The sequence below is a fragment of the Homo sapiens genome, chromosome 22, assembly GCF_000001405.40.
Source record: "Homo sapiens chromosome 22, GRCh38.p14 Primary Assembly".
Lineage (NCBI taxonomy): Eukaryota > Metazoa > Chordata > Mammalia > Primates > Hominidae > Homo > Homo sapiens.
In genome coordinates this window covers 47445183-47455346 of record NC_000022.11, presented here as the reverse complement: position 1 = coordinate 47455346, position 10164 = coordinate 47445183, and the positions used below count along the sequence as shown (strand labels likewise).

General features: G+C 50.3%; 1 annotated feature.

The window, feature by feature from the left end:
• Nucleotides 2833-3127: an enhancer, noted in NCBI's record as "tiled region #13395; K562 Activating DNase matched - State 12:CtcfO". NCBI's record gives its function as "activates a minimal TATA promoter and a strong SV40 promoter by Sharpr-MPRA in K562 cells {active_cell/tissue: K562}" and the evidence as "EXISTENCE:reporter gene assay evidence [ECO:0000049][PMID:27701403]".

The following is a 10164-nucleotide window of genomic DNA, read 5'->3' as shown; positions in this document are numbered from 1 at the left end:
AAATATATGAAGTGTTGCCTATTTGTCTCAATTTTCCCTTTTTTGTTTTCGCTTTCTATCCCATATTGCATTTCATGGGTTATCTATTTTATTATTTACCACCATTAACTTCAAAGTTTTAGACTATTTGAATATTCTTTTAGTGGTTGCCCCGAATATTGCAATAAGCATTCTTGGCTTATTAAAGTTTAGTATTTTTTGTTATTTTACCCTCTTTCTGGACAATTAAGGGCTTAAAAACACATAAGGTCCATTTATCACATTCCTTCTTGTATAGCATTGCTGTTGTATATTTTAATTCTCTGTTTTAAGCCCAATGAGGCATTATTTTCACACACACACACACACACACACACACACACACACACAAACTCTTTTTGTTCCTTATATATTTTGCATCTCTTACCTTTCACCTGAGATCATTTTTGTTCTGCCTATAGAACAATCTTTAGTATTTCCTTTAGTGTGATCTATTGGTGATAAATTCTCTGTTTTGTTTGTATGAAAATTCTCTTTATTTAACCTTAATTTTTAAAGAATATTTTCACTGGATATAACATTCTTGGTTGGCACTTATTTCCTTTTCAGCACTTGATATCATTCATTGTGTTTTAGTTTTTATTGTTGCTGTTGAGAAGTAGCTATTATTTTAATAGTTGCTCTTTGAAGGTAATGTGTCTTTTTCTCTAATTAAAAAAAAATCCTCTTTGCTTATGGTTATCAGCAGTTTTGCTCTGACATAGCTTGGTGAGGATTTTCTTTTATTTATTTATTTGTTTGCATTTTGATAGGGGTTATAAGATTCCTTGCTTCTGTACTTGAAGTCTTTCATCAGCTTTAAAAATTTCTCAGCCATTAACTTTTCAAATTTTCTTTCTGACCTACCTAGTCTCCCAGCTCCTTTTGGGACTGCAATTACAAGGATCTTAAACCTGTTCCTTATGTTCTATTTCATACCCATTCTTCTATGTTTTCCATCATGTTGTAGCTCTATTTTTTTTATTCCAGACATTTTATTTTGACTTTCTATTTCATTGATTTTCTCTTCAGCTATGTCTAATCTGCTTTTAAATCCATCCACTTAATTTTATTTTGCTAATTTGATTTTTCAGTATTACAGTTTCCACTTAAAAAAGGAATTTTCATTTATGTACTGAAATTTCTAATTTTTCCTTTATCTCCTTGAACATTATAAACATAGTTATTTAGAAGTATGTGTTGATGACTCCAATAGCTAGAGTCCCTGTGATTACTTCTATTGTCTGTTGTTTCTGCTGGTTTCATTCATATCGTTTTGACTCCATGTATGCATGGTTATTGTGCCTGATGTGTTTTAAAAGTTGTTTGGAAGACTAAATTAAGCCTTACAATGATACTATCTTCTTTCAGAGATGACTTACATTTCTTTCCATTGCTTTTTAGCACTTGAGGTCTAAATCATCTCAACTCAACCCCAGGTGTTGAGATGATAAGAAGTCACTTCCATTTCCTGGGAAGGTTTGTCTGCTCTAGTCCCTCACCACTCCTCACATTCAGCCCTTTGGTGTCTCAACTAAAATGAGGGGGCCTCACTGGGGCCTTCCCTGTTGTCTGGGACCCCACATGGCTGTGAAAGCACTGCTGTATTTTGGCCTCTCTATTGATCCCCATGGTATCAGCACAGTGCCCCCAGGAGTAAAGCAGCCACACATGGGAAGGCTTGGCCCCATTTTCCTGTGATTCTGGCCTGTACATTTTTCACTATCTTATTAGTTCTGTAACAATTTTTAAGAAGATATTTTTGCCTAGATATTTTAATTGTGTTCAGTTGGAGAACTGGTCATAATTGCCTAGTCTGTCCTTACCAGAAGAGGAAATCCTGACTTAACTTGCACCTTCACTTTGAACTATTTAAACTATTGCCACTGGCCAGAACTTCCAGCATCCTGCTTCTCATGCCCTGGGCTCCACATCCCCTAGGCTGTAAGATCTGCTTGGACTGGCCCGACCACTCCCACTCAGGTGTCAGCAGGAAGAAGGGAGGGATGAGGGGATGGTGGCACATTGTCCCTTCCCCTCCACTCGGCTCCCCACCTCCAGCCTACGTCTTGGCTAATGATGACAACATAGAAGTCTGCTGAGGACCAAATAGGGTCTCCCAAAGTTTGCAGCACTGGGGATTCAGGAATTATCTGGAGAGAAGGAATCCCTGCCCTCACGGACCTTATATTTTAGTGGACAGACGGAAAGTCAACATGCTCACAAACCAATACTAAAGTTCTCATGGCGACAAGAGCTGCAAAGACAACAAAATCAGGTAATGAGACTGGGTGGGAGGAACATGCAAGGGCAGGAAAGGCTTCTATGTGGAAGGAGGAGCCAAATGGGGAAAAGTCTGAGGGCAAAGCATGCTTGGTTAGAGAATAGCAGGGCAAGGGTCTTCCCCCAGAGCAAACGCAGCATGCCGAAGGGGCTGAAGGAACACCAGTGTCTGGTGTTGGAGAGAGACGAGTACAGTGGTGACAGGATGCTGGGGTGGGAAGGCATGAGAGCTGCCTGGACACAGTGCTGTGGCACTTTATTCTCCCCGGATACGAAGCCTGTGGCATATTTCCAGGGGGAAATGAACTGGAGAGGGCCCGTGTGAAAGTAGAGAAACCAACCCTCTCTTTAGGGCAGCAACTTTCTGAGTCTGGTCGGCTGACCCCAGCGGTCCCCAGGACGTTGCTTACGTGTCCATGTGCTCAAAAATACTCAAATAATACCTTAGGTATGCTACTACTACTGTATACTACTATATAGTATACTTAGGTATGCTACTATACTAATACTCAGGTATTATTTAAGGTATTATTTTCCTTCTTCACTGTGCCGTATTTGCCCTGATGTACAATAGCAATGGTGGATAATACTGTGGGTGCCCCAGAACAGATGCTGGTGGTGACTCTACACCCCCACTAGTGGTCATTGTGTGTTCTGCACCTGAACACATTCACAGGAAGACAAAACTCAGTTTCACTCAGGAGCGCCCCTGATGGGAGCAGTTGCAACAGTTAATTTTATTTAGTCTCAACCCTTGAGTACTCATTGTTCTGATATTCCATGCTACCACATGGGAAGTGCCCACAGGGCTGGGGGTAAGGGAAGCTGGGTGAGTCCTGGGGAAGGGGTAACTGGAGCTGTGTCAGCCTCTTAAGCTGTCCATGCAAAGCCCAGTGCTGTGTGTGTGTGTGTGTGTGTGTGTAGAGAGAGAGAAATAGAGAAACAGAGAGAGATGGCCAGAGAGAGAAAGAGAAACAGAGAGATTAGAAGGGGAGAAGGGGGACGAGGATGGGAGGAGAGAGGGAGGTGAAGACAGGTGAGGGGTGGGACATACCTAGCAGAGGAGAGAACACAGAGAATGAACAGAATAAGAAATTATGGAGTAAGATATGATGGATGAATTGCAGATTATTTTTTCTTTTTTTTAGAGATGAGGTCTCTGTGTTACCCAGGTGATCTCAAACTCCTGGGCTCAAGCAATCCTCCTGCCTAAGCCTTCCAAAGTCCTGGGATCACAGGCATGAGCCTGGCCCTGAATTGCAGATATTAACACAGAGAAGGGACGCAGCATCTGTTGGCCAGGGAGTCAAGGCAGATTCCCCGAGGAGGTGAATTTGCAGTTGAGGGCTGAGGCTTATCTTGAAAGCTGCCCAGTGGAGGGGGGGCGGGTGGGTAGGGGAGAAAAGGAACATCCCAGGTCAGGGGGCAGCTGGTGCCCAGATGGACCAGGGCAAGCCTGGCCTTCAGAGGTGGGTGGGTGCTCCTGGCAGCCCCACCTTCCCTTCCCCCATCACAGTGCATCATTCATTGGAACGTTTAAATGGCAAAGCTGTTCAAAAAGGTCTTGACTATTTTATTTAATTCAATTGTCAGAAACCCCATTGTACCATTGGGGTCATTACACATCTGATGTGGAAAATGGGGCTCAAAGGCATCCAGGGATTTGTGGCAAGTGGACCTGGATCCACGAGACCCGGAACGCTCCCACAGCCTCCTCCTCCAGGACAGCTGTCAGATGGCGGCAGTTTGATTGGAAACAGAACAGCCAGCACTTTCAGAAGTGCTAGCTGGTGGTTATTTTGGGGACATTGGGATGTAGCTGGGATTTAGGTGTCCAAAATATCTCCTATGAGACGGAGCCTGGCCTGAAGCTCTGATCCCAGGATTTCAGTCTTGCAGAAGGCTCCCAGCATCCTCAGGCAGAGCCCTCTCTGGGTTGAAGGCTTCCTGCTCCCAGTCTGGAGTCTGTAGATTAAGGCATTAATCACATCACAGTCTGGCTGTACCTTTCAGCTCATCCAAATAAGTGCGGTGTGATTCTATTTCACAGACAAAGTCCCCGGGAATCCAGCCAGTAGGTGATGAGGGAGCGTGGGGCAAAGGCTGACAACATCACTTCTGTAACTAGAGTGCATCCCAGGAACAAGAAAAAAGACCCTTCAGCCCCGGGACCCTGGAGCTCCTGCAAGCTCTCATCTCCTTACCCAGCAGTGTCTGCATGCTGGAGGGAAGCAGTGCTCTTTCCAATCCAAGTCTCCACCTGTGGCCTGGGTGGTTGGAGGCAGCAACCCAACCTCTCTGAACCTCATCGGGCGTGAGGAGGATGAACTGGGGAGGCTGCAAAGGCTGGTGCTCACCTCTTCTTCCACCGCCCTGGACCAGAACTCGACCACCCAAAGGCCCTTCCCAACCGGATTCATAAACTATAGGGAAATAGAAACATTTCCAAAACCGCTGTCTGGCCCGGCAGCCTGTGGGTGTGTTCTCACCTGATGCTTTTGACAGCTCGGCCTGGCACACATGGTTGTCACCACCACTCTGAAGACAAACAAGCGGGGCATAGGGTGGCGGCCTTTGCCCATGGTAGGGATCTGAGCATGGTTCACACCCAGGGCTCTGACTCACGGCCCCCCAGAGGCAGGTGGGCTGTCTTCTTCTCCTGTACCTGCTGGGACCCCGCCTGTGTGTGTGTGCAGCATGGGCCTGTTGGATTAGATGGAAGATTTTGAGGGGATCGCTGAGCTCAGTGTACGTAGCAGGTGCTGAGAGACCTAGAAGATCATCGAGATTCAAAGCTCTGCTCTTCAGCCATTTTTTAAGACTACTGGCTGCAAAAGAGAAATGTCCTGATAGGGAGGGGTGAATGTTGGTGCGGTCAGTAGAGTAACAACCCCCAAGACAGCCCTGTCCTGATCCCTAGAACCTGTGAGCATGTTTGGTTACACGGCTTACAGGGAGTTGAGGTCACAGGTGGAATCAGGTTACTCATCAGCTGGCCTTGAGTGTGAGGTTCTCCTGGATTATCTGGGTGGGTCCAACATAATCACAAGCGTTTTCACAGGAGGGAGGGGTGAGAGAGACTAAACCTGCTGGGTGCTGGTTTTGAAAATGGAAGGGGCCCCCAGGCAAGGAAGGCCGCAGCCTCCGGAAGCAAGAAAACCTCATCGGAACCAATTCTCCCCGAAGCCTTCAGAAGGAAGCAGCTCTGCCCACACCTTGATTTTGGCCCAGGGAAACTCCTTAGACTTCTGGCCTCCAGAGTGCTAGGATAATCACTGTAAGTCTTACTGCAGCAGGTGGCTTCGAGTGCAGGTGGCTGGCGCTGGGAGCTGGGCTGCGGTGTGGTGGGCACGTGTGTGTGGTGCTCTCAGCACTCACAGGCTTGCCAGGAAGCTGCTCTATGCTGGCCCCAGCCCAGCAAGCTCCCAGTGTCTCCCTTCTTATTTGATAACATTAAACAACTATTCATGGGGAGGAACTTTTTACCTACAGTGACTTTTAAGAGGACTGTGATGACCAGGGGCACCAGGTGACAAGAATGTTTAGAAACATTTTCTGAATAGATTTCCTTACATTTCCTCCCTAATCCAAACCAAGCCAATACACACACTCACATGCACCCTGCATTAGTCCATTTTCACACTGCTCTAAAGAAACACCTGAGACTGGGTGGTTTATAAAGGAAAGAGGGTTAATTGACTCACAGTTCCACATGGCTGGGGAAGCCTCGGGAAACTTACAACCACAGTGGAAGGCAGAGGGGAAGCAAGGCACGTCTTTCATGGCAGCAAGAGAGAGAGTGTGAGGGATAACTGCCAAACACTTTTAAACCATCAGATCTTGTGAGAACTCCCAGCAAGGGGGAAGTCTGCCCCCAGGATTCAATCACCTCCCATCAAGCCCGTCCCCCGATACATAGGTATTACAATTTGAGATGAGATTTGGGTGGGGCCACAGAGCCAAACCATATCACACCCCAAACATAATGCACATACGGTGTCCATGCCTTAAGCACACACTCATATGCACAGACACAGCCTGAGTGTGAGGCTGGTTTTGACCCAGCAGAGGCCTTTCCAAGGGCACTTAGGCTGGCACAGTGCATTGCACCATGTGGGCTGCCGGCCCCAGGGTGGGAGTGAAGGCGCTGAGGTGGCCCGTAGACCACCATCCTCAAGTGTGGACTCTGGAGCAAGCCTCCGCTGGGGCAGGCCCACGGCCGCACTCCTCTGCATGGTCTTGGCCTGGATCCCTGCATGGGTGCCCTGCAGCAGCCACAGGGTCCCTCCCTGAGTGCTCTGGGCCAGTCACAGCTTCAGCAGCCAGCGTGCAGTTCCGGATCCTCACTGCTCTCGCTGCTGCTCCCAACCCTCTGCTCGTGCCAAGGGCCCAGGGGGAGCTTCTGGGAGGTGGGCGGCAGCTCATTGGGTGCAGTTACTCTGGACTCCTGGCTCTGGGGACTCCATGTCATTAACCCTTCAGTTCTGTTTTCAGAGCCCAAAGATGCACTGCAGAGCCAGAGATGTTGGGAGAGGCAGTGTGGAGGAGACCACCTGAGCCAGGTGGGGGACGGCAGCCGAGCTGGGGGCAGAGCAGGCATTGTTCAGGTGAATGAGGTAGGGCCCTGGGTGCCTTGGCACTGGCTGGGCATGCAGGGGCCTGTGCACATCTCCCTGTGGGGTCCCCTCTGCTCTGGTGGTCCTCAATTTCCTTCAGGCCATGCTCAGAAGAACCTTCAGTCCGAGCCCCAGGTGCAGGAGGAGAGCAGTGCTCGGAGATGCTGGGTCCACAGCGGTCCAAGGGGTGTGGGGAGGATGAGACAAGGCTGTGACTGGGGGCTCCTGCTGGGTGTCGGCCCTCTGTGCTCTCTGTGTGTTCTCAGCCTTGGTGGTCAAGAGCAGAGGTGCAGTTTGGGGAAGGGACAAGAACAGACCCTAATGCTGTCCACCAGGAGAAGGGACTCCCAGCACATCAATAAAAAGTGTGCTGGGGTTGAGAGACCTCTCAGTGTCTTCCCACCACACTTAGGATGAAGGAAAACACCCTGTCACGGCCCTGAGACCCTGCAGGGTGTAACTGTAGCCCCATCTCTGGCCTCCAACCCACCCCACTCCATGTGATCTGCCCTCAGGCAGCCTTCCCTGTGCTGGTCATGGTCCCTCCCACCACAGGGCCTTTGCACCTGCTGTGGTTCTGCTGAATAATCTTCCCTTTCTCCTTTGTCTGCAACTCCTCCTGGCTCCACCCAAGCACTGCTACCTCAGGCGTGCCTGCTTCTCCCTCCCTGACTTGGCCAATCCCCGTATCCTTCCCAGCACCTCTCCCTCCCAGACTTGGCCAATCCTCATGTCCTTCCCAGCGCCCCTGCCTCGGTCATGATTTGACATTTGCCCGGTGATCTGATTGGCATCCATTTCCTCTGCTAGACTGTGGAGTTACCTGAGGACAAGGACCTGGCTTGCTTGTTAGTTTGACCCTTGCATCTCTGAGCCGAGGGCAGGGACAGCGCGTGGCGCCGCAGAGTGCCCCAAGTGCCGCCTGCCCTGAGTGGTCCATGCGAAGTGACCCTCATGTCTTCAGAGCAACCCTGGGCAGGCGCTGTTACTATCTACATTCTACAGAAGGGGAAACTGAGGCACAGCGAGGCGAGCCAGTATGTCTAAGGCCACACAGTGACATGTCACAACTGGACTTCAAAGTCTGGGCAAGCTGGCTCTGCGTGGCACTTTCCCATACAGGAGCCTCCAGCCACGCATAGCTCGTAGAGATTAAATGAGTGAAAATGAAATGAAAATAAAATTCAGTTTCTCAGGTGCATGAGCCGCCTTTCAGGTGCTTGGTATCCACGTGTGGCTTGTGTCCGCCATATTGGGTAGATTTGGCTCATTTCCATCATCGCAGGAGGCTTTGCTAGGTGGCATCACCTCTAGAGTTTGTGTCTACGGCTGGATGTGGACAGCCCCCAAGCATTTCCCAGTGGAATGGAGAAACAGGGCTTCCAAGCACCTCACCCCACTCTCTTCCCACACTCCACAAGGGGCTCTCCGGCCTCTCTGGAGCTCCTGGACTTGGGAGTGAGCCCCTCGCTTCAATATTCCCGAGTTTTCTTGCTCTTTATCCTGTAAACTGCTGACTTCGACAGCACCTGTTTCTGGCCTCATCTTACCTTCCGCATCACAGACAGAAACCTTTGTGTTTTTGTTTTGTACAGGGCTAGACAGGCTTTGCAGGCCACATTTGGGCTTTGTCTCTTCTTTCTCTCCTCCTCCTTCTCCCTCTCCTTTTTCCTGTCTCTCTCCCTCTTTCTATCGTTCTCATTTTCCATCTTCTCTTTCCAACCCTGTAAAGATGTGAACACAACTCTTAGCTCATGGGCTGTGTCTGCTGGGCAGGTCATGGTTTGCCAATCTCAGCTCTAGAGTCTGAAGCTTTGATAAGTGCCTTCCTCCTGGCATCACTGGGGTTTTCGTCCACTTGTCCCATCTGTTCTGTCTGGAGAACTCCTTTCTGATTTGAGCTGGATTCAGGGTCCCGTTCTTCCCCGGGGGCGTAGCTCCAGGAGCGGAGGCGGTGTTCTGGAAGCACTGCCTCTGAGCACTGCCTGGGCCCTCTCCCCCGCCTCCCTGCAATTCTGGGGCTTGGATGTTATTTTTTGCGTATGCAGGTGAGGCATCAGCTTACTCCACTGTTGTCTTTATTGCCTGTGATTTTGGCTGAGAATGTTGTGTTTCTTTCAGAATCAACAGCACACTGTCCCCGGCAGTCAGGATCAATGTGACCCAAAGAACACTTCAGGGGTGGGAGTGAGGGCCTATCCCGCCCTCACATCCCTTGTCCTGCCAAGGAGCTCTGGGGGCCTGTTTGCTCTGCTAAAACGATTCATTTTCCTGAGGCCGAGGCTGCCTGTCTGGCTAGGCCCCTCGTTGGTGCAGCCCTGCTGTGTTATTGACTCCATGTGTTCTGTTTCTTGGCCCTGTTTCCTCCCCACCAAAGGGGCCGTGATGCACAAACACCTGCCAGTGGCCATGGGGCCTGTGTGGTTGGCCTTCTAAGATGCACCTGGAACACAGGCCGGTTCCACACTCTGTGTGGAGGCTCCTTTCGTGTGTGTCTTCGACTGTCATTTGCCAGTGGGTCTCAGTAACCATCTGCCCCACAGACACTGCCTGTGGCCACCACCCCTGCATCCAGGCTCTCCTCCTCCAGCTGACTTCACTGCCACCCCACTGGGGGAGCTGAGAGAAGGTGCCCAGAACCAAGAAGCCCCACCTTGTGGGCAATGCCAGCCAATCAGAAGAGAGCAGGCAAGGCGCCTGGTGAGATGTCATGGCTGAAAGTGTGGGATGTGCAAGCGGACAGGCGGACAGAAGAACAGGTGGATAGGTGGACAAGCAGACAGGAGGACAGGAGGTCAGGAGGATAGGTGGACAGAAGGACAGGTAGACAGGCAGACAAGTAGACAGGAGGACAGGCGGACAGGTGGACAGGAAAACAGGTGGACAGGAGGACAGGTGGACAGGCAGACAGGAGGACAGACGGTCAGGAGGATAGGTGGACAGAAGGACAGGCGGACAGGCAGACAAGTGTACAGGAGGGCAGGCAAACAGGACAGGTGGACAGGAAAACAGGCAGACAGGTGGACAGACAGACAGGAGGGCAGGTGAACAGGAGGACAGGTGGACAGGTGGACAGGCAGGAGGATGGGCGGTCAGGAGGATAGGTGGATAGAAGGACAGGCGGACAGGCAGACAAGTGGACAGGAGGGCAGGCAGAAAGGACAGGTGGACAGGAAAACAGGTGGACAGGAGGACAGGTGGACAGGCAGACAGGAGGGCAGGTGAACAGGAGGACAGGAGGATAGGT